At 47.8% G+C, this 22,752-nt stretch overlaps 2 protein-coding genes and 1 long non-coding RNA gene across 9 annotated transcripts, besides 6 other annotated features; 1 reads left to right on the top strand and 2 right to left on the bottom strand.

Moving 5' to 3' along the window:
* RPL27 (ribosomal protein L27) lies at positions 357–5,043 on the bottom strand. 4 transcript variants are annotated; one of them, NM_001349921.2, is made up of 5 exons: positions 4,901–5,043; positions 4,485–4,567; positions 3,214–3,383; positions 533–643; positions 357–444 (listed from the first exon to the last, which is right to left on the bottom strand). In NM_001349921.2, the coding sequence occupies exons 2-5, from the start codon at positions 4,563–4,565 to the stop codon at positions 396–398; spliced, it is 411 nt and encodes a 136-aa protein (NP_001336850.1). In that variant the 5' UTR covers positions 4,566–4,567; positions 4,901–5,043; the 3' UTR covers positions 357–395. The 4 variants fall into 4 exon arrangements, 3 of the variants coding, with proteins under 3 accessions (NP_001336850.1, NP_000979.1, NP_001336851.1); NM_000988.5 differs by lacking the exon at positions 4,901–5,043 and adding an exon at positions 4,845–4,897; NR_146327.2 differs by lacking the exons at positions 3,214–3,383; positions 4,901–5,043 and adding an exon at positions 4,845–4,897.
* Positions 3,383–10,531, top strand: LOC124904006 (uncharacterized). The gene is made up of 2 exons (XR_007065759.1): positions 3,383–3,595; positions 3,930–10,531. It is a non-coding gene; the product is annotated as an uncharacterized LOC124904006 (long non-coding RNA).
* Positions 4,141–5,340: an enhancer, noted in NCBI's record as "CDK7 strongly-dependent group 2 enhancer chr17:41149993-41151192 (GRCh37/hg19 assembly coordinates)". NCBI's record gives its function as "activates an origin of replication core promoter dependent on BRD2, BRD4, P300/CBP, MED14 and CDK7 cofactors, with strong dependence on CDK7, by STARR-seq in HCT116 cells {active_cell/tissue: HCT116}" and the evidence as "EXISTENCE:reporter gene assay evidence [ECO:0000049][PMID:35650434]".
* Positions 4,436–4,545: an enhancer, noted in NCBI's record as "active region_12232". NCBI's record gives its function as "activates an Ori minimal core promoter by ATAC-STARR-seq in GM12878 lymphoblastoid cells {active_cell/tissue: GM12878}" and the evidence as "EXISTENCE:reporter gene assay evidence [ECO:0000049][PMID:35858748]".
* Positions 4,616–4,855: an enhancer, noted in NCBI's record as "active region_12231". NCBI's record gives its function as "activates an Ori minimal core promoter by ATAC-STARR-seq in GM12878 lymphoblastoid cells {active_cell/tissue: GM12878}" and the evidence as "EXISTENCE:reporter gene assay evidence [ECO:0000049][PMID:35858748]".
* Positions 4,866–5,175: an enhancer, noted in NCBI's record as "active region_12230". NCBI's record gives its function as "activates an Ori minimal core promoter by ATAC-STARR-seq in GM12878 lymphoblastoid cells {active_cell/tissue: GM12878}" and the evidence as "EXISTENCE:reporter gene assay evidence [ECO:0000049][PMID:35858748]".
* On the bottom strand, positions 8,174–22,751 carry RUNDC1 (RUN domain containing 1). 4 transcript variants are annotated; one of them, XM_005257078.5, is made up of 6 exons: positions 22,242–22,751; positions 17,660–17,665; positions 15,902–16,060; positions 13,777–13,975; positions 12,880–12,999; positions 8,174–12,468 (listed from the first exon to the last, which is right to left on the bottom strand). In XM_005257078.5, the coding sequence occupies exons 1-6, from the start codon at positions 22,737–22,739 to the stop codon at positions 11,600–11,602; spliced, it is 1,851 nt and encodes a 616-aa protein (XP_005257135.1). In that variant the 5' UTR covers positions 22,740–22,751; the 3' UTR covers positions 8,174–11,599. The 4 variants fall into 4 exon arrangements, with proteins under 4 accessions (XP_005257135.1, NP_001308310.2, NP_001381151.1 ...); NM_001321381.3 differs by having other exon boundaries at positions 8,174–12,465; NM_001394222.1 differs by lacking the exon at positions 17,660–17,665.
* Positions 12,159–12,660: an enhancer, noted in NCBI's record as "H3K4me1 hESC enhancer chr17:41142673-41143174 (GRCh37/hg19 assembly coordinates)". NCBI's record gives its function as "activates a minimal SCP1, AML or CMV promoter by ChIP-STARR-seq in primed H9 embryonic stem cells {active_cell/tissue: H9 hESC(primed)}" and the evidence as "EXISTENCE:reporter gene assay evidence [ECO:0000049][PMID:30033119]".
* Positions 22,435–22,684: a silencer, noted in NCBI's record as "silent region_8549". NCBI's record gives its function as "represses an Ori minimal core promoter by ATAC-STARR-seq in GM12878 lymphoblastoid cells {active_cell/tissue: GM12878}" and the evidence as "EXISTENCE:reporter gene assay evidence [ECO:0000049][PMID:35858748]".

The raw sequence follows: 22,752 nt of genomic DNA, 5'->3' as shown, positions 1-22,752 counted from the left end.
TTTTTTTTTTTTTTGAGATGGAGTCTTGCTGTTGTCAGACTGCAGTGCAGTGGTGCTATCTCAGCCCTCCCTGCAACTTCCGCCTCCCGGGTTCAAGCAATTCTCCTGCCTCAACCTCCCGAGTAGCTGGGACTACAGGCGTGCACCACCAGGCCCAGATAATTCTTAGTATTTTTTAGGAGAGACAAGGTTTCACCATGTTGGCCATCTCTTGACCTGGTGATCCGCTCGCCTTGGCCTCCCAAAGTACTGGGATTACAGGCGTGAGCCACCGTGCCCAGCCCACCCAGTGTTTCCTATTCAATAATGTTCTCCTTTTCACAGTCTGGTAATACATACAGCATGCAGACACAGGCTTTTTTTCTTTATAATTTTTAATGATCAAAACAAAGCATCTAAAACCGCAGTTTCTGGAAGAACCACTTGTTCTTGCCTGTCTTGTATCTAGAAGGGAAAAAAAGAGGACACCAATGAGGAAAGGAATGGAAATAGTGAAACCATACTCCACCATTCACTACCAAAGCCTACTTACCTCTCTTCAAACTTGACCTTGGCCTCCCGTCGGGCCTTGCGTTTAAGAGCAGGATCTCTGAAGACATCCTTATTGACGACAGTTTTGTCCAAGGGGATATCCACAGAGTACCTGGGGACAAAGGTGGAGAGGCAGGATTAGCCCACATACTGCCGGGGCCCCTATACAGCCCAAATCCTTGTGGGACACTAGGGAATCAGGGTCTGACTCCTTAGAAGCAACCATCAAAAGCCATGTCCCGATGACATTATCTGAAAATTCACACTTTTTTTTTTTTGAGACGGAGTCTGAATCTTTCGTCCAGGCTGGACTGCAGTGGTGTGATCTCAGCTCATTGCAAGTTCCGCCTCCCGGGTTCACGCCATTCTCCTGCCTCAGCCTCCCGAGTAGCTGGGACTACAGGTGCCCGCCATCAGGCCTGGCTAATTTTTTGTATTTTTTTAGTAGAGACGGGGTTTCACAGTGTTAGCCAGGACGGTCTTGATCTCCTGACCTCGTGATCCGCCCGCCTTGGCCTCCCAAAATGCTGGGATTATAGGCGTGAGTCACCGCATCCGGCCTGAAAATTCACTTTTAACATTTATTGGATTCAAGCCAATAAAATGTAAAATTCAATGTTTCATTCTCAATTTCCCACAACTACTTTATTTTTCTAGCTAAGAATCATCAAATGAGGCCCTCCCCCACTTTTTGAGACACAGTCTCGCTGTTGCCCAGGCTGGAGTGCAGTGGCGCAATCTCGGCTCACTGCAACCTCCGCCTCCTAGGTTCACGCCCTTCTCCTGCCTCAGCCTTGCGAGTAGCTGGGACTACTACAGGCGCCTGCCACCATGCCTGGCTAATTTTTTGTACTTTCAGTAGAGACGGGGTTTCACTGTGTTAGCCAGGATGGTCTCGATCTCCTGATCTCGTGATCCGCTTGCCTCGGCCTCCCAAAGTGCTGGGATTACAAGCCTGAGCCACTGTGCCCGGCCAAATTAGGCCTTCTTGACTTTCATCATGACAGTTAGCTAACTTTCTACTTGAAATCATTTCCTTATTGTTCAAGTTCTGCCAATGCAGTCACTCTCATGACAGCCCAAACACTAGCTGCCTCAACCCCACCACATCCCAGCACCCAAGAAACAGCTCTCTCTGCCCTTTTATTATTATTTTTATTTTTTGAGATGGAGTCTCGCTCTGTCACCCAGGCTGGAGTGCAGTGGTGCCATCTCAGCTCACTGTAGCCTCCACCTCCCAAACTCAAGCGATTCTCCCACCTCAGCCTCCGGAATAGCTGGGATTACATGTGCCAGCCACCATGCCCAGCTAATTTTTTTTAGTAGAGATGAGATTTCATCACGTTGGCCAGGTTGGTCTCGAACTCCTGACCTCAAGCGATCCACCTGCCTCGGCCTCCCAAAGTGCTGGGATTACAGGCGTGAGCCATGGTGTCCGGCCTCTCTCTGCCCCTTTAGGTCAGCCAACCCAGAGTAAATGTGCAATACCAGCAGCAAACTTTAAGGTGCATGCTGCTGGGTTCTGGCAATTATTGTTCAGGACTTTCTCAATTCTCGCACCTCTTTTGCTGGAGGTGCAGTGGTGTGATCTCGGCTCCCTGCAATCTCCACCTCCCAGGTTCACCGTGTTAGCCAGTGCGGTCTCGATCTCCTGACCCTGTGATCCGCTCGCCTCGGCCTCCCAAAGTGCTGGGATTGTAGGCGTGAGCCACTGTGCCCGGCCTTGCACCTCTTTGAGACGGAGCTTTGCTCTCCTTGCCCAGGCTGGAGTACAATGGTGTGATCTTGGCTCACTGCAACCTCCACCTCCCGGGTTCAAGCGATTCTTCTGCCTCAGCCTCCCAAATAGCTGGGATTACAGGATTACCATGCCCAGCTAATTTTGTATTTTTAGTAGAGACAGGGTTTCACCATGTTGGTCAGGCTAGTCTCAAACTCCTGACCTCAGGTGATCCATCCGCCTTGGCCTCCCAAAGTGATGGGATTACAGGCGTGAGCCATTGTGCCCGGCCTCTTGTACTTCTTAAAAAACACTTGTACTGGCCGGGCACGGTGGCTCACGCCTGTAATCCCAGCACTTTGGGAGGCTGAGGTGGGCAGATCACGAGGTCAGGAGATCGAGACCATCCTGGCTAACATGGTGAAACCCCGTCTCTACTAAAAATACAAAAAAAAAAAAATTAGCCAGGTGTGGTGGCAGGTGCCTGTACTCCCAGCTACTCGGGAGGCTGAGGCAGAAGAATGGTGTGAGATCCCGCCACTGCACTCCAACCTGGGCGACTCCGTCTCAAAAAAAAACAAAACAAAACAAAACACTGTACTAAGACAGTGTATGTCCCCAGACTAAAGGGCCCAACAGGTGAGTAAAATTAATTGGGGAAGACTTGCTTTCACGCACTCACAGACTTTTTGAAACCTATTGTATTTATCCTTGAGGGTGGAACAGTGGAAGAGGGCAGATCAGACCCCATGCCTGTGTTTACTGTGGATGGAAAACAATCTTTACCCAACACTTAAAAGATGGATCAAAGGCAAAACTGGAAACCATAGCCACTTTATGAGTTGAAGATGAACATTTTGGAAATGATATCCCTTCCTGGTGTTGGAATGGCTGCAAGGTCTGTCTCATTATTCAACAGAGCAGGGAGAAGAAATTTAAATTCTAGTTCTTGAAATGCTCACCTTGTGGGCATTAGGTGATTGTAGTTATACACTTTCACAAAAGATTTTATCTTTGATCTCTTGGCGATCTTCTTCTTGCCCATGGCAGCTGTCACTTTGCGGGGGTAGCGGTCAATTCCAGCCACCAGAGCATGGCTGTAGGGGCGATCTGAGGTGCCATCATCAATGTTCTAAATGAGTAAGAATTACATTTGTTATTCACTGAGGGCCTATTTAGGCCCTGTGTTAGAGGTAGTGCAGTGTCCAAAAAATATTTCCACCCTCAGGTCTCCAAGATCCACCATTATAAAGAGAAAAATCACAGAAAGCTATGAGAAATGACCAAAGAGAAACAGAACAGTGTTTATCTCCATCAGGAAGCATCTGGAACGGCTTACTAGAGGTAAGAGATTTAAAAGTAGCAACAGTTAACATTTAAGAAGTACTTGCTATATGCCAAGCACTGCTCACAGGACTTGGTATCTATTCACTTGCTCCACTGCTAGTGAAGTGTACAGCCAAGGTTAAGACACCACAGCCTAACTCCAGAGATCAGTCTCAGGAGATGGGAGAGGGGAATCCAGGGGTACTCCAGTGTCCCCACAACAACAAAACGCAGTGGTGTATGTGGCCAGAGCCTAGGGAACTCTCTCAAGAAGCTACAAAATCATGGATAAGAGGAAAACAGTGAGGGGCTATGTGACCTTTCTAAAAGCAATTTCCTCCTCTTCTTACAGATTCCCAGCTGCAGCACTTCAGGTAAATAACAGAACACCTCCAAACCTTAGCAACAGGAAGGAACCCCCTATAGCTGGGGATGGTGGCACGCACCTGTAGTCCCAGCCACTCGAGAGGCTGAGATGGGAGACTCGCTTGAGCCCGGGAGGTCGAGGCTGCAGTGATCACGCCACTGCACTTAGCCTGGACAGAGATCCCGTCTCAAAAAAAAAAAAAAGAAAAGAAAAGAAAAGGAATCCCCTATGATTACTTCAAGGACTGCACATGACAATACCTGAAAGGCAGTGGGAGCACATAGCAAGCGTGCAATGTCAGCCACTATTACTATATATTTAAAGCCTCTGGTGGAGAAGGCTTTATGCGTTGGGAGCCCAATTCAGCTCACATTTGCTTTTACTGTGCTTCTTCCTCTCTCAAAAACTCTCCCACGTTCACCCTGACCGTGCTCACTGGCTACTGCCCCAGAAACAGGCCTTGAATTCCAAGCCTGCCCGCCCCGCCGCAGCCAGCCTGGTCCCGGCATGCAAGGACGCAGAGTCCCGCGAGGCTGATACCTTCACGATGACAGCTTTGCGTCCGGAGTAGCGTCCAGCCAGGACAAGCACCACCTTCCCAGGTTTCATGAACTTGCCCATTTCTGCAGAGAGCAAGGAGAAAGGGCCACTTAAAAATCCGTAAAGCCAAAGATGCCCAGAGCTGACTCCTGCCAGCAAGCCCAGGTCTTGGGCCGGAACTTCAGACTGTGTTCACTGTCGCCTTGGTCAAGGCCGCCCGAGGGCCCTGCTCGCAGGACAGGATCGGATACGTAGCCGCCAGAGACCTAGGGAAGGAATGCACCCGGCGCCGCCCGGACCTTCGACCCCCAAGCCGCGGATGGCAGCGGATTGAAAGATTCAACCCAAGCTTCTACTTACCGGCAGCAACCACCCGGCCCTACCAGCAAAAAGGAAAGAAGGACACTTCCGCTAACCTTTCACCCCGGTGAGGAGTGACCTCACTTCCTGTCCCGCCCTTCAGGCTTTGCCACGCTGATTGTGTGGTGCTGAGTCTCGTGTTGCGGGCGGAAGAAGCTCATGAGGGAAACGCAGGGCGCGGCAGCTCAAGTATTCGAATGAAACTTTATTAGCAGCTCCAGCAGTAGACAAGAGCAAAGGAGACTCCTCCCGGCCGACGGAAGAGCTGGGAGGGCGACTGTGCTGTGCGCTCTGGACTCAGCAGCTAGGCTTTGTTGTAGTTCCTTTCTCTGGCGCTAGGAGGGGGAACACAATCTGAAATTTACTTTTTCTCTTGGGAGACACAGGGAAAAAAATAGGGCATTTATTGGTGCCTGTCGGGGGCACTGTTAGCTAAAGAGGGAGGGACAAAGATCAGTAAGGGTGGCTGGTCCGATAGTAGTGGGTTATCAGAACTTATCAACGTTAGGGTCACTAAAGTTGGTATACAACCCCCCACTGCTAAATTTGGTTTTAAAAAAACAAACAAAAAGGATATTTACCCCCAACAGTTAAAGTCTAGTGGTGTCACTGACATTACCAACTAGAATAAGCATGAGGGAGGTAGAGGAGAAGAATGGCAGCTGCTTACCCTGTGCCAGGTCAGGTTAATCTATTTATGCACATCATCTGATTTGGTCATCATAACACTAAGAAATAGATACTATTATCTCCATTCTAGAGTCGAGGAAACTGGCTTAGAGAGATTTGCCCGAAGTCTATAGTGGTTAAATAGTGGAGCTGGGGCTCAGCCTCAAGCAGTTCAACTCCTGAACCCATACTGTTTACCATGTCACCATCCTGAGCAGCGATTCTCTCCCAGGCAAGATGTGAGCACTTTATACAAGCCGGCAGCCTGTTTAATCCTCACAACTCTGCATCTTGGGCATTCTCCTCCCATTTAGACATGAGGAAATTGCAATTCAGAGAGGATAAATTGCTTGTCTGAGGTTAATCCTAATCAGTGGCATAGATGGGATTCAAATCTAGGTCTGAATCTAGGTCTAGTTGGCTCTCAAACTGAATTATTTCCCATCACTCACCAGAAGAGTGTTTTCACATGGTACCTTATGTGCTTTCCGAGTTTAAGGGAAAGATAAACTATCTCACAGTTTTTGCTTATCTGAACCTATAGGATTTGTCTTGGGCAAGATGTGGAACAACCAGGATTTCATCAGTTCTCTCCTGAAGCTCTCCAGTGATACAATTTTCCCTGTATCCCTCAGGATCCCATTGCAATGGCTTTTGTTTTGTTTTTTGAGACAGGGTCTCGCTCTGTCACCCAGGCTGAATGGTGTGTAGCACAATCATGGCTCACTGTAGCCTCAACCTCCTGGGCTCGTGATCCCCCCACCTCAGCCTCCTGAGTAGCTAGGACTTCAGGTATGTGCCACCATGCCCGTGTAATTTGAAGAAAAAAACAAAAACAAAATCAAAGAACTTTTTTTTGGTAGAGATGGGGACTCACTATATTGCCCAGGCTGGTCTCAAAAACTTCTGGGATTAAGTGATCCTCCTACCTGAGCCTCCCAAAGTGTTGGGATTACAGGCGACGCAGCACCGTGCCCGGCCCCATTACAATTTTTTTTTTTTTCAGACGGAGTCTCATTTTGTCACCCAGGCTGGAGTGCAGTGGCGCGATCTCAGCTCACTGCAACCTCCACCTCCCGGGTTCAAGCGATTCTCCTGCCTCAGCCTCCTAAGTAGCTGGGACTATAGGCTCCTGCCACCACACCCGGCTAATTTTTATATTTTTTGTAGAGATGGAGTTTCGCCATGTTGGCCAGGCTGGTCTCGAACTCCCAGCCTCAAGTGATCCGCTTGCCTCGAACTCCCAAAGTGCTGGGATTACAGGCATGAGCCACCACGCCTGGCCTCCAATGGTTTTTAAAATGTCTTTTTCTTATATATTTCATTTTTTAAAGAGATGAGGTCTTGCTATGTTGCCGGGCTTGAATGCAGTGGCTATTGACAGGTGTGATGTAGCTTCAAACTCCTAGCCTCAAGCGATCCTCCCATTTCAGCTTCCCAAGTAGCTAGGACTAAGCCACCTTACCCTCCAAATCAAATCAGTAACTAAATCCTCTGAATTTTGTCTTATGTCTTTTATTTTTGAGATGGAGTCTCACTTTGTTGCCCAGGCTGGAGTGCAGTGGCATGATCTTGGCTCACTGCAATCTCCGCCTCCTGAGCTCAAGCAGTTCTCCTGCCTCAGCCTCCCGAGTAACTGGGACTACAGGCGCATGCCACCACGCCTGGCTAATTTAGTATCTTTAGTAGAGATGGGGTTTCACCATGTTGGCCAGGCTGGTCTCGAACTCCTGACCTCAGGTGATCCACCCACCTTGGCCTCCCAAAGTGCTGGGATTACAAGCGTGAGCCACCATGCCCAGCGGGATGCTTGTTATTTTTTTTGAGACGGAGTCTCCCTCTCGCTCCCAGGCTGGAGTGCAGTGGCGAGATCTCGGCTCACTGCAAGCTCCGCCTCCCGGGTTCATGCCATTCTCCTGCCTCAGCCTCCCGAGTAGCTGGGACTACAGGCACCCGCCACCACGCCCAGCTAATTTTTTGTATTTTTTAGTAGAGACAGGGTTTTACCATGTTAGCCAGGATGGTCTTGATCTGCTGACCTTGTGATCCACCCGCCTAGGCCTCCCAAAGTGCTGGGATTACAGGTGTGAGGCACCGCGCCTGGCCCCCGGGATGCTTATTAAAGAAGTATCTCCAACCTCAGAGATAGTCATTCTGGTCTGGAGTGGAGCCATATGATCTATAGATCTTATTTTGAGCAACAGCTTTAAACAACTCTTTTTCTTGAAAAGTTCTTCACTTTTCTTGAACTCCATTGTTGGCTTATTCAATAGTATGAACTTTCACTCCTTTCCTTCCTTACTACCTTTCCTGCAGCATAAATTTCTGACTCCCCCACCCTTCACATACCCCCTGGGCTGTTCCTTGTGTCTTTTTCTTCCTCTCCAAGTAACCAGGCAAAATCCTATTCAAATTCTATCCATCCTTCAAGGTTATTCCAGAATTCTCCCAGGCAGAATTAATCTCTCCTTTCTCTGGGCTCTCTCAGCAATCCAGTCTGTACTTACCTTTATTAGAGAACATAATCTTAGTTTGGATATGAGTGGTTCTCATCTCAAAGTGTGGTTCCCAGAGCAGCAGCATCACCATAACCTAGGAACTTGTTAGAAACCAAATTCTCAGGCCCCACCCCAAAACAACTCAATAAAAAACTCTGGGGATGGGACCCAGCAATCTATATTTTAACAGTCTCTCCAAATCTCCAATTGGTATGGTATCTCCTTTGCTAGACTGTGTTTGTTGAGGGCACGGGGTAGGTTTACTTTTCTCTTTCTTTAGCATCTAGTCTAGGCAGGCAGTTGCTAAGTGATCAATAGTGAATGAATGATTGGAGAGCACCTTAGACGGCTTTAACAATACTTTGCAGATCATACTTGTACAACACACCCTACATTTCCACTGCATACATATCCGTGGCTCTTGACCCTTCCATTCTTGCATATCCTTGGATCTGGGTGGACTGGCCTGCCTCTCCTCCCTTGTCCTGTCTCACCCTAAGTGAAGGACAGAGCTCTGTTCTCAGTAATGACAGATGATATCAGAGCTTAGCAGATATCTGACTGCAGGGATGCTGATGGAATTGTTGGGTTGTCTCAGTTGATACACACATTTAGGTTTCAAGAACTTAGACATGAAAGTCATGGCTGCCGGCCTGTCTCCCTGCAGCCTTGTCCTTTGGCAGCTGAAATTTCTGGCAGTTGTGTAGAAAATACCTTCTCCTCCCCAAAGTGAGGGGAGGAATGAGGGTGGTGGATAAAGGAGAAAGAGAAACCAAAATCTAGAAACAACATGATACAATGAAGTGAAAAGATAGACTGTGGGCTCTGGATTCAGAAAACTTGACTCCAAATCTCAGGTCTTCCATCATCATGTAAACCAGGACAAAATATTTAACCTCTCTGCAGTTCAGTTTCCTCAGCTGTAAAGTGGGGATAATACTGTCCCACTTTGTAAGTAGTGAGAATTTAATTAGAATGAGACAAATGAAAATGCTTCCTGTAATGCTAGCACAAAGCCTTAATACAAGTTTTGTTTTTGTGATTTGAAAAAGGCAATACTGGGGTGATCGCTGGGCTACGCCATATGGCTATACCAGTTACCACCCAAAGTGATATCCAGACAAGTGGATTTAAAAGTGCCAATCCTGGCTGGGTGTGGTGGCTCACGCCTATAATCCCAGCACTTTGGGAGGCTGAAGTGGGTGGATCACCTGAGGTCAGGAGTTCGAGACTAGCCTGACAAATGTGGTGAAACCCTCTCTATTAAAAATACAAACATTAGCCAGGCGTGGTGGCAGGCGCCGGTACTCCCAGCTACTCAGAAGGCTAAGGAAGGAGAATCGCTTGAACCCAGGAGGCGGAGGTTGCAGTGAGCTGAGATCACGCCATTGCACTCCAGCCTGGACAACAGAGCGAGACTCCATCTCAAAAAAAAAAGGTCTCCATTCCAAAAGCAGCATGTGTGATGACATCTGTTGTGGGGAGGGACTACAGGCGTGGGCAGGAGGAGATGGTCATGCCAAGGGGACTTTTTAGTGAATTTTTTCAGGCAAAAAACCCCTACTACCACCACCAAAGCTGAGATGATCCGTAACAGAGGACAGAGGATACAGGCAGTTTTCAAAAAAATATTGATCTGGATCAGATGGGCTGATAAGGCCCAAACACTTATAAACCAAAGCTGCAGATCTCTAAGGTCTTCAGAGAAGCTACACAAAATACTATGATTTCATTAGCATCCACATATGTATCATTTTCCACAACATTTTACAATTCTCTTGTTTCACAGGGAAGGTGAACTAATTATAATGAAATATCAGTAATGTATCTTAAATAAGTAACATGTTGCTGGAAAAAATTTAAGTTAAAATGCACTACATAATAGTGCAGAAACAAAGTGCAGGTGGCAATTTTAAGACATGAAAACAATGCTGAATCAGTAGTGTTTGGAGTGATACATTTTGCCCATTTTTGGCCAGTCCTAGAACAGTACTCACCACAAGCTGCATGCCAAATATGAACTAACGAGGCTAAAACACTGAAGACCAAATAGAACCACTCTAGAGTCTGTTTCACAATGAGATACTCCTCCCCGTTCTGGAAACAGCGATCTGCTGTAGTTCCTATCCTCCTGTGGCACCTATCCCTGCTACAGTACCTATAACCAGATGTCCTCCATCATCCAGCCTCCAGGACAAGTGGTGCTCAGTGAGTCACAACCTGAGGAACAGCTGCTGGTTACCGATTTGTATTCCTGTATATACTCGACTTGGGTAGCCAGGATTTTCTCGTTTGTCTTGAATATATTTACTTCTAAAAAGACTGTTAGTCTTGTTGGGAGGTGAGCAGAGGAATGTTTACTTGCTGGAGAACATAGTAACAAACATCACTTCTCACCCCTCATAAACAGAAAGCCCATTGTCTGTGCCATGAAAAGAGGACTACCTTGTCAGGAAGATTTTACTTACCTCTACAAGAAAAAGGACTCGTATTAAAATCGACCTGTGGTTACCACCCTTAGAAATGCTGTTTTCAGATATTCCTATTCCTAGTCTTAGAGGCAGCCATGGAATATATAGTCTCCTCTGACCTTGGGGTCAGGAAGAAAGGGAAATCTATTCATAAAAGGAATTTAAATTCTGGCCTAGGCCTCTCAAACCTGCTTCAAGTGAAAGAAGATAGCTTAACTAACAGGAGCCTCAAGTTGAATGTCTTTTTTTTTTTTTTTTTTTTTTTGAGATGGAGTCTCCCTGTGTTGCCCAGGCTGGAGTGCAATGGCATGATCTTGGCTTACTGCAGTCTCCACCTCTCGGGCTCAAGCGATTCTCCGGCCTCAGCCTCCTGAGTAGCTGGGATTACAGGCATGCACTACCCCGCCTAGCTAATTTTTGTATTTTTAGTAGAGATGGGGTTTCACCATGTTGGCCAGGCTGGTCTTGAACTCCTGACCTCAGGTGATCCGCCCACCTCAGCCTCCCAATGTGCTGAGATTACAGGCGTGAGCCACTGTGCCTGGCCTGATTCCTTTAATACAGGCTCAAGCACAAGTGCCCACACGTATACTGTGGGTACAACCTTCTTTTTTTTTTTGAGACGGAGTCTCACTCTGTCGCCCAGGCTGGAGTGCAGTGGCGCGATCTTGGCTCACTGCAAGCTCCGCCTCCTGGGTTCACGCCATTCTCCTGCCTCAGCCTCCCGAGTAGCTGGGACTACAGGTGCCTGCCACCATGTCCGACTAATTTTTTTGTATTTTTAGTAGAGATGGGGTTTCACCGTGTTAGACAGGATGGTCTCGAACTCCTGACCTTGTGATCCGCCCGCCTCGGCCTCCCAAAGTGCTGGGATTACAGGTGTGAGCCACCGCGCCCGGCCTGGCAGAACCTTCTTAACAAGAGGGTCCCTCCAGCACATCTTTCCGAGAGCTAAGTTGGTGGGGAAAACAGACTTTGCACTCATTTGGCCGACTGCCTGAGCAGGGTCTGGGAAAAATGCCTTTAACCCCACCTCTGATTCCTTGCTCCTATGCTAGAAGACTAGCACATCTATCCCTACTGAACAAGGAGCTTGTCTGGGGTTAGGGCACTCTCATCAAAAGGCATCTTTGATGTTTTTGAGCTGGCGCACAGCCAGATCTACAGGGAGGCTAAACTTGAGGCTGCTGAGGCGACTGAGCAGGTTGAGGGCACTCTCAAAGCCTGTGTGTGCCATGTAGCTCCAGGGCTGGTAGTGAGGCTCGATGAGTGACCCGGACTTGCAGATGAGGTTCACCCAGGACACCAGACGCTGCTCATTCAGTGCCATGCACACCAAGGCCTTCAATTCTGAGTCTGCACTGCGCTTAAAAGGGTCATGCTCTGTCAGCACCATGTGGATGGCTGTCAGTAGGCTCTGTTTGGGGGTGACAACAGTGCCTCCCGTAACAGGAAGGGCGAAGGACTGGGAGAGCTTCCGGGCTGGGGATTCCACATAAGCACGGCCGTTCTTAGCATGGTAGTACTTTACAAAGAGCTCCCACGGGTGCATGGCCTCTGGGGCCGAGGAGAAGGCTGGCAGCAAACAAGCAATAGGAGCCATAACAAGGCTCATCCCTGGGGAGGAGGCATACAGTCCATGGGCCAGCAGGTCCCTCACAGCCACCGTTAGCTCCTTCCGCACAGCCATAGTCAGCTCATCCTTGCCTCCCAGAGAGAGGTCCTGGAGGTTGGCAGAGGTGATGACATGGTCATGTGGCTGCTGCCTCAAGGCTAGCTGCTTCACTCTGTCCACTGACACCTCCAGCCTCTTCAGCAAGGGAGAGTAGTCTCTGTCAGCCTGGACCCTCTGCCACAGGGTTGGAGGGATCTGGCCTGTGGCACAACCAAACTGGCTAACAGCAAAGATCTGGAGCACGGCCAGCGCTCGCCGCATCAGGTGCAGCCCCGTCTCCCGGACTTTCTTCACATCCTCTGCCTTTGCTGCTTAGAAAAGACAGTGGCTCATCAGTGAGAGGCCATGATGGCACAGAGCTACACTCAACAAATCACAGGCTGAGATCAGTCTGAGCCACATGCTGGGTCTCACATGAAGGCAAGAGCCACCCAGGATGTAGCTGGACTTCCTTTTTCTGGTTAATAATAGCTGTATTGAGATATAATTCACATACCATATGATTCACCCATTTAAGGTGTTTAATTCAGTGGTTTTTAGTATATTCAGAATTGTATAACTGTCACTGCAATCAATTTTAGAATATTTCATCCTTCCCAAAAGCAAATCCATACCATCAGCATTTCTCATTCCCCTCTTCTCCTCAACACACCCAAGCCCTAGGCAACCACTCATCTACTTTCTGTCTCTAGAGATTTGCCTGTTCTGGAAACTGCACTTACTTTTGCTGTTTCCTGGAGGCGTTCTGCTGCTGCCTGTTCTGCTGCAGCCATTTCCTGTCTTCCCACCGGCCTTGCACTCACAGTGTCCACCACCTGTCTGCAAGGGGCTTCCCACTTCATCTGGAATCAGAAATTATAGAAGAGACACTTATTTAGCCCTTTATGGCAGATCTTTAAAGGAAAAATAATACTTAATGGTGCCTATTAGAAACAAGAATTTCACAAACTCTTGTCCTATTTAATTGTGTAAAATGAGGACTGGCATACAGTAGTTGGCTCAATAAATATTTGCTAAGTGAATGAACCATGAATCATCATTTTATGGATGACAAGAGAGACTGAAGAGTTAGTAACATGCTCAAGGACATAAAACCAATGAGTATGAGAGTGGAGATTTTAACTATCTGATTTTGAAACCCATGCACTTTCTACTCTGCCAATGCTGCCTCCCCTACTAAGCCATCAAGCCTCTTAAATAGTACATCAAGAATTGGCACCTTTTGGCTGGGCATGGTGGCTCATGCCTGTAGTCCTGGTACTTTGGGAGGCTGAGGCAGGCGGATCACTTGAGGTCAGGAGTACGAGACCAGCCTGGCCAACATGCTGAAACACCATCTCTACTAAAAATACAAAAATTAGCTGGGTGGGGTGGTGGGAGCCTGTAATCCGAGCTACTCAGGAGGCTGAGGCGGAAGAATTGCTTCCATCTGGGAGGCGGCGGTTGCAGTAAGCCAAGATTGTGCCACTGCACTCCAGCCAGGGGAACAGAGAGAGACACTGTCCCCACCGCCCAAAAAAGAACAAAAAACCAGAATTAGAACCTTTTTACTAGTACTTAGAATAAGTATAATTATTATGACACCTGTCCACCCTTCTCATCCCATCCCCTCCTCTAACCTTGGATGAAGTTGATAAACATCTCAAGGTCTCGGATCTGAGTTTTCAGTTGCTCAACCAACTGTTCTTTGACTCGGGCTGGGTTGACGATCTGAGCCACTGCTGCATCTACACGCTGACGAAGCTCTTCAGTGGACAGGGAACTGATGTCCTCATTCAGATTCATGTCCAGTTTCTTTATTAACTCATCTATGATCACCTACCAAGATCACAAGCAATGAGCACACCCTTTGGAATTTTTAGGGAGAGGGTTAGGAAGGAGAATCTAAAAATGTCTTCTGTCCTTAAATGGAAATAAAAAACAGACCTCTAAATTTGTGAAAGTAAATGACTTAACTGCTGATTGATCAAGGTGAGGACATAGACTCTCTACTTTTAAAGTAAAAAGAACCCTCAGTTCTCTGATAAAAATGGATCCTCCCACTCACAGTAAATTTCTACCAGGCTAGTCAGATTTCACTCAGGAAAACAACAGTATGAAAAATCCAAAGTGGCTGATGATCCAACAAGCCTTATATTTAGTTGCTCTAAAGGCTTCAAGGAGAATATATACTGATTTTTAAGAGACAGGGTCTTGCTCAGTCACCCAGGCTAGGGTCCAGTAATGTGAGCGTAGCTCACTGTAACCTCAAACTCCTGTGCTCAAGCAATCCTTCTGCCTCGGTCTCCCCCATAGCTGGGACTATAGACACACGCTACCACCTAGTTAATTTTTAAATTTTTTGTAGAGACAGGGTCTCGTTATGTTGCTCAGGCTGGCCTCAAACTTCTGGCCTCAAGAGATCCTCCCACCTCAGCCTCCCAAAGAATTGGGATTACAGGCACGAGCCACTGCAACTGGCCTGATTTTTCTTAATTTCTAATCCTTCTTATCCCTTCTTGCCCTACTGTAGGCAACTAAAGAAAAATCTCTATAAAATATCAAGGTGCATTATAGCCAAAATATCCTAGTGACATTATTAGGAACAATTTAAAATTCTGATAATAGGCTGGGTGCGGTGGCTCACATCTGTAACCCCAGCACTTCGGGAGGCCAAGGCGGGTGGATCATTTGAGGTCAGGAGCTCAAGACCAGCCTGGCCAACATGGTGAAATCCCATCTGTACTAAAAATACAAAAATTAGCTGGCCATGGTGGTGGATGCCTGTAATCTCAACTACTCGGGAGGCTGAGGCAGGAGAATTGCTTGAACCCTGGAGGCGGAGGTTGCAGTGAGCCAAGATCATGCCACTGCACTCCAGCCTGGGTGACAAACTGAGACTTTGTCTCAAAAAAAAAAAAAATCTGATATCGTAAACTCCAGCCCAGCCAGAAAAACAGCCACAGCACAGGGGTAGAGAAACATGCAGGGGAGGTTGTAACTGTATCTCTACCAAGAGATTTACCTGTCTACCCAGGTCTTACCTAAATAAATACAGTATTAAAGTCAGTCTGGATTCCTGGCATGTTTATCAAAAGGTAGTGAGTAGTAGGAAAAAGCTAGATTACGGCCAGGTGCGGTGGCTCACGCCTGTAATCCCAGCACTTTGGGAGGCCAAGGTGGGCAGATCACCTGAGGTTGGGAGTTCGAGACCAGCCTGACCAACATGGAGAAACCCCATCTCTCCTGAAAATACAAAATTAGCCCAGCATGGTGGCGCCTGCCTATAATCCCAGTTACTTGGGAGGCTGAGGCAGGAGAATTGCTTGAACCCAGGAGGCAGAGGCTGTGTTGAGCTGAGATTGTGCCATTGCACTCCAGCCTGGGCAACAAGAGCAAAACTCCACCTCAAAAACAAAATAAAACAAAACAAAAAAGCTAGATTACATTGTATGATGGGCCCAAGTAGAATTTTTTAAGTGATCAAATGAAGAAATTATTGTTATATTCTTATTTCTATTATTAATTACAATCACCAAAAAGAAATAGCTCAATTATCGTATTACAAAACTTTGGAATCTGTGTTTTCCATGTGTGAGCAAAGAAAGGTTCCTCATAGCAGTAAAATTTCCCTTTGATTTGGGCCAGCAGAGGGATTCTCAGTAAGGCCAAAGGAGAACTGAGCTGAGAGAGGATGCCCTGTGAATGCTGGAAGGGACAAGTTAACCTCGGGCAGTGGTGGAGGTTCCTCTGGGGTCTGCTCACCCGCTGTCTTTCCAACACCACGGACTGTGGCAGCGAGTCATAACTGCCCTCTTGATAGGCAAACGTTTCCAGGTCATCTAGCTGGGTCTTGAGCTGCAGTATCAGTTCTTTCTGCTTCTCCCTTTGGGTTTCCAGACGCTCTTGCTTTTCCTGCTCACTCTAAGGCAAGAAAATAATTGGGTCTATTATGCAGGCAAAGGGAAACTCAGGGCACATTAAGAATCTGCTCGAGCCAGTAATGACCAATAAAATATAAGATGTTTCCAATAATCCAAATGAAATACACAATTCATACGATAGATTCAAAAGTAAGAATAATTATTTCATCCTAGGCAATTTGTCAAATGGGTGTTTTCTTTAAGAAACTATCTGTCCCTCATTGGAAATAGGATATTAATACAATGAGGCTTTTTGTTAAGACTGCCTTTTTTCCCCCAAAGGTCTAGTTAGGGTAGAGACAATCTATCTCAGCCAAGATAGCCTCCCAGGAATTAAGACATGCCATTCTCCACAGCCAGTTACCATAACACAACTCCTGATTACTCTGTGCAGCCAAATTTTGCAAAAGAATCTGGGGTAAGGGTGTGGAGAGAGGCTTTAAAACTCATAACCAGCTGGCCGGGCCCGGTAGCTCACGCCTGTAATCCCAGCACTTTGGGAGGCCGAGGCGGGTGGATCACGAGGTCAGGAGATTGACCATCCTGGCTAACACAGTAAAACCCCGTCTCTACTAAAAATACAAAAAAAAAATTAGCCGGGTGTGGTGGCGGGCGCCTGTAGTCCCAGCTACTTGGGAGGCTGAAGCAGGAGGATGGCGTGAACCCGGGAGGCGGAGCTTGCAGTGAGCAGAGATCGCGCCACTGCACTCCAGCCTTGGTGACAGAGCGAGACTCCGTCTCAAAAAAAAAGAAAAAAACTCATAACCAGCTTTCCTAAGGTTCACCAAAGTCCCTTTGATGTACGATAGACCACTTCTGAAAAATCAAAAGAATCAAACGCACCAGGAGTGGTGTCTCACGCCTGTAACTGCAGCACTCTGGGAGGCCAAGGCAAAAGAATCACTTGAGCCCAGGAGTTCGAGACCACCCTGGGCAACACAGTGAGACTTCATCTCCACAAAAAAATTTTTAAAAATTAGCTGGGCATGGTGGTGCATGCCTGTAGTCCCAGCTACTTGAGTGGCCGAGGCGGGAGGATTGCTTAAGCACAAGAGGTCAAGGCTTCACAAGACCCTGTCTCAAAGAAAAAAAAAATTAGCCAGGCGTGGTGGCATGGTGGTCCCAGTCACACAAGAGGCTGGGACAAGATGATGGCTTGAGTCTAGGAGGTTGAGGCTGCATTGAGCTTTGTTTTCACCACTGCACTCCAGCCTGGGCAATAGGGCAAGACTCTGTCTCAAAAAACCAAAACCAAAAACAAAAGAGTAAAAGGCAAGTGCCTAGGCCAGTGAAAAAAAACCAAAAGCCACATAATGGGGATGTGAAGGTAACAACGTTTTTAAAAAAAAGTATCTGTAAGTTTTGCTGACTAGTGACTCCTTTTTCAACTGTTGGCCACCAGTAGTTTCTGCATTTCAACTAATAAAAATGCTTCAGGGTGGTAAAGTCTTGTCAACGTATTCTCAAACACTGGTTCTTCCTTGTCTTTCTTGAGTCTCAAAAACAAAAAGCAAAACCAGCAAATCATTTGTAGGGGCAAGGCTGCGTCTTAAACTAGAAGTCTACAGCGTATTACATTTAACCTTAAAACGGTACTTACCAAGCCCTGAAGAAGTAAGTAATGAGAGAGAAGAAATGAAAAAAAAAAAAAAAAGAAAACAACAAATTAACTTTTTGTTTAAGTATTTAAAATGCAATCCTCTTGCTTTAACTTTGCTCAACATGAAAGCAAGCCTTTTCTCAGGGCAGTCCCTCTGTAATCCTTTCAGAGCGCAGTTGCATACTGTTAGAACCCTATCCCACTTCCCCATTTGGTGAAGGCCTAGTTCTCCTTTAAGAGGCTTCCTGATTTCCCCAGGCATAACTAAACATTTCCTCTAGAGGTTGTTCACACTTCTAGTCTAGCTCATATCACATTATTTGTTTAGGATTCTGTCTCTTCTAGTCTATGAACTCCTTAAGGACAAAGGTTTTGACTTTGAACCACAAATGCCAGGCACAGTGTCTGGCACAAGATAAGTTCTCAACATGCATTTGTTGTATGTTACTGAACTGAATTAAGGAAAGTATGGCCGAACGCAGTGGCTCATGCCTGTAATCCCAGCACTTTGGGAGGCCAAAGCAGGCAGATCACCTGAGGTCAGGAGTTCGAGACCAGCCTGGCCAACATGGTGGAACCCCGTCTCTACAAAAACTAGCCCAGTGTGGTGGCACGTGCCTGTAATCCTAGCTACTTGGGAGGCTGAGGCAGGAGAATGGCTTGAACCCAGGAGGCGGAGGTTGGAGTGAGCCAAGACCGCAGCATTGCACTCCAGCCTGGGTGTCACAGCAAGACTCTGTGTCCAAAAAAAAAAAAAAAAAAAAAAAGAAAGAAAGAAAAAGAAAAAGAAAAGAATGACAAATTCCAAATAATGAACTCTGAGTGGAGAAAGTTGTCTAACCAGCCTAAGGAGAAAGAACTGTGGAAAAGTCTTTTGTTTTTGTTCTCACTGTTACCCAACTTTATGTCAGGGAAGAAAGAAATCAGCCATAAATTTTGATTCCATTTTCATGACCAAGTCTGTTGAACTCTGTCACTTGCCATGGTAGCTACGATATGCTATTTGCTGGAGTGTGGGCAAACAAGAGAGAACAATGAGCTCTGGTGCAAAGCAGGAAATAACATAAATCATTTCCAGTATGAAGTAAGATAAGAGAAAATATTGGTTTAAAATATTTGGGGTTGAGGTGGGTGGATCACTTGAGGTCAGGAGTTCGAGACCAGCCTGGCCAACATGGCAAAACCCTGTCTCTACTCAAAATACAAAATTTAGCCGGGGATAGTGGCACATGCCTGCAGTCCCAGCTACTAGGGAGGCTGAGGCAGCAGAACAGCTTGAACCTAGGAGGTGGAGGTTGCAGTGAGCTGAGATCATGCTACTGCACTCCAGCCTGGGTGACAGGGCCAGACTCTGTCTCAAAAAAAAAAAAAAAAAACTGGGGGCCAGGTGCAGTGGCTCATGCCTGTAATCCCAGCACTTAGGGAGGCTAAGGTGGGAGGGTGGCTTGAGCCCAGGAGTCAGAGACCAGCTGAGCAACATAGGGAGAGCCCCACCTCTACAGAAAAAATATATTTTTTAATTAGCTAGTCATGGTAGTGTGCGCCTGTGGTCCCAGCTACTTGGGAGGCTGAGCTGGGAGGATGGATTGAGCCCAGGAGGTTGAGGATGCAGTGAGTTGTGATCATGCTGCTGCACACCAGCCTGGGCAACAGAGTGGAAAATAAAAATTTAGGGCCGGGCACGGTGGCTCACACCTATAATCCCAGCACTTTGGGAGGCCGAGTCGGACAGATTATGAGGTCAGGCGTTCGAGGCCAGGAGTTCGAGACCAGCCTGGCCGACATGGCAAAACCCCATCTCTACTAAAAATACAAAAATTAGCCAGGCGTGGTGACGGGCACCTGTAGTCCCAGCTACTTGGGAAGCTGAGGCAGGAGAATCGCTTGAACCCAGGAGGCGGAGGTTGCTGTGAGCCAAGATGGTGCCACTGCATTCCAGCCTGGGCGACAGAGTGAGACTCTGTCTCAAGAAAAAAAAAAAAATTGGCGGGGTACAGTGGTTCATGCCTGTAATCCAGCACTTTGGGTGGCCAAGGTGGGTGGCTTGCTTGAGCCCAGGAGTTCAAGACCAGCCTGGGCAATATGGTGAAACCTCATCTCTACAAATACAAAAACTAGCTGAGCATGGTGATGCTCGCCTGTGGTCCCAGTTACTCGAGAGGCTGAGGTAGGAGGATCTACTGAGCCTGGGAGTCAAGGCTGCAGTGAGTCCTGATCATGCCAGTGCACTCTAGCCTGGCAACAGAGTGAGACTCTGTCTCAAAAAAAAAAAAAAAAAAAAGGAAAAAGAAAAAAAAAGGTAAGTGGTAAGAAGTAAATCATTCAGTTCAATGATATTCCCTACTCTGGTCCTACCTGTTCACCTGTCAATGTATTCAATGTATAAATACAAGATTACAACTTGTAGGTGGATTGAGCACTACTTTTTTTTTTTTTTTTTAAGGTGGTACAATGTTTCTTTTGCCTTTTTTTTTTGAGACAGGGTCTTGCTCTGTTACTCAGGCTGGAGTGCAGCGGTATGATCATAGCTCTCTGCAGCCTCCAACTCCTGGGCTCAAGTGATCCTCCTCCAGCCTTCGCCTCCCCAAGTGTTGGGATTACAGTCATGAGCCACTGCACACAGTCTTTTTTTTTTTTTCAGTTTTTAATTTTTTGTGTGTTTTTTTTTGAGACAGAGTTTCACTCTTGTTGCCCCAGGCTGGGGTGCGATGGCACGATCTTGGCTCACCGCAACCTCTGCCTCCCAGGTTCAAGCGATTCTCCTGCCTCAGCCTCCCGAGTAGCTGGGATTACAGGAATGTGCCACCATGTCTGGCTAGTTTTTTTTTTTTTTTTTTGTATTTTTAGTAGAGACGGGGTTTCATCATGTTGGTCAGGCTGGTCTCGAACTCCCAACCTCAGGTGATCCGCCCGCCTTGGCCTCCCAAAGTGCTAGGATTACAGGCGTGAGCCACTGCGCTGGGCTAGTTTTTAATTTTTATGGGTACATAGTATGTGTATATATTTATGGGGTACATGAAATGTTGCTACAGGCATGCAATGTGTCATAATCACATCATGGAAAATGGGGTTGGCCTACTGTTTCTAAAGGTGAAAATGAACAACAGAGTTTCCTATCATGTAGAACCTTTGGTGCTGTCCACCCCTTTCTAGCCCTTAAATCTGACAGTTTGAGGTGGCTGCTCCTTGTGTAAGGAGTTGCAGGTATGTGGAGAAGGGTGGAACAGTAAACACAGGATTGCACTGGAAACAGTTCAGACTAAAATAAACAAATCATTATCTGCTTGATAAATCTTCTTGGCTAAAACCAATGTAAGTGGGAAGAAAGCCACATGTAGATTGTAGTTTGAAGAATAAAATGGTGAAAAGGGATGGGGCATGGTGGCTCACTTCTCTAATCCCAGCACTTTGGTAGGCTGAGGAGGGCAGATCGCTTGAGCTCAGGAGTTCGAGACCAGCCTGGGCAATGTGGTGAAACCCCGCCTCAACAAAAAATAAACAAAATTAACTGGGTGTGGTGGCACACACCTGTAGTCCCAGATACTGGGGAAGCTGAGGCAGGAGGATTGCTTGAGCCCAGGAGGCAGAGGTTGCAGTAAGCAGAAATTGCGCCAATGCAGTCTGGCCTAGGTGACAGAGTGAGACTCTGTCTCAAAAAAAAAAAGTGAAAAGGCAGTGTACCTCAACACTTCCAATAAAGCCAGCACTTTGTGCACTTCCAGAGATGCAAAGCTTGTAAGGAAACGTTTACCTGGTGTCTTATACATAGTTTCACTACTTCTGGGGTAGGCACACTGAATCGATCTTGTCAGTTATCAGAGGACCTCATTCAGAATGCCTAATGATTAAGCAGGATGGAGGAAGAGTTTAAAAATTTCAACATTATAGCCTGCACGGTGGCACACGCCTGTAGTCCTGAGGCTGAGGCGGGAGGATGGCTTGAGACCAGGAGTTCGAGACCAGCCTGGGCAACATACCAAGACCCTCCCGTCTCTTAAAAAGGAAAAATTCCAACATTAGGAAATTTATCTAATCAAGAGTTGTGTTTATTTCAGTTACTAAGAGACCCTGCTGTTAATCCAAACTCCCACCCAAAGAAGTGTAAAGACTGCCTAGATTTCAGGAAAGCAGGGACAGGGAGTTAACCTAAATTTCCACGGATTCCAACTCACTTTCCTTTCCTTTGCCAATTTTCCCAATCCCCAGAGTCGGGGTCCTCTAGCAGCCAAAGTGTTCAAGACTGAGATACGTGAGGGAAAGGTGAGTGGGCGCAGCACTGCTCTTGGCTGCTCTGCTGCCCTCTCAACGACTCACTTCGCTCACCGCTCCTCTACCACTCACGTCATCACGCACCGACATCTCTCCACATCCTCCGTGCACACCGCTCACCCTCAGGTTCCCAGGCCTCTGTCCTCTTGCCCTTCAGCCGGCCCCGCACTCCAGTCCCCTGGTCTCCGACACACGTACTCACCGACCGAGTCGGGGAGGCTTCTCCCCGCATGCACCATCATCCGGGTCTGGATCGCCACCCACACGACCCCACTATTCCCATATTCCTCGCGGCCCGGCTCCAGCCACTCACCTGGTCCTCGCCCCGCAACCATGGCCGGTCCCCTGGCAGCCCATCGCCCTCATCGCTGGCGGGGTCGCCGGGCCCTTCGTAACCTAGGACGTGAGGGCAGCCGCGGAAGGCGAAGTCTTCGAGCTCCCGCAGAAGGCGCTGCTGCTCCGCCGGCGCCCCGCGCACCACCTGGCGCAGGCGGAACTGCACCTGCGCGAAGTGCGAGGACAGCGCCAGCAGCGCCGAGTCCAGCCGCCGCCGCTCTGCCCGCAGCCGCCGCAGCGTCCGGCCCGGCGAATCCGGCGGGGAGCCCGGGGCCGCGCCAGGCTCCTCGGCCGTCGCCTCTTCTAAAAACGCGGTTGCCCCAGGCCGGGCCTCCGCCACCGCCCCCACTGGGGCCCAGCGCACCGCCTCGCACGGTGGCAGCGGCTCCTCTTCCTCCTCCTCTTCGTCTTTCGCCTTTGGCCCAACAGCCGCCACCACCGTTACCGGCTCTGCAGCCGCTTCGACAGCCGCCATCTTCCCGGAAACA

The sequence above is a fragment of the Homo sapiens genome, chromosome 17 (genome assembly GCF_000001405.40).
Source record: "Homo sapiens chromosome 17, GRCh38.p14 Primary Assembly".
Taxonomy (NCBI): Eukaryota; Metazoa; Chordata; class Mammalia; order Primates; family Hominidae; genus Homo; species Homo sapiens.
The sequence above is the reverse complement of the archived record's forward strand: the minus strand, read 5'-3'. Positions and strand labels throughout refer to the sequence as shown.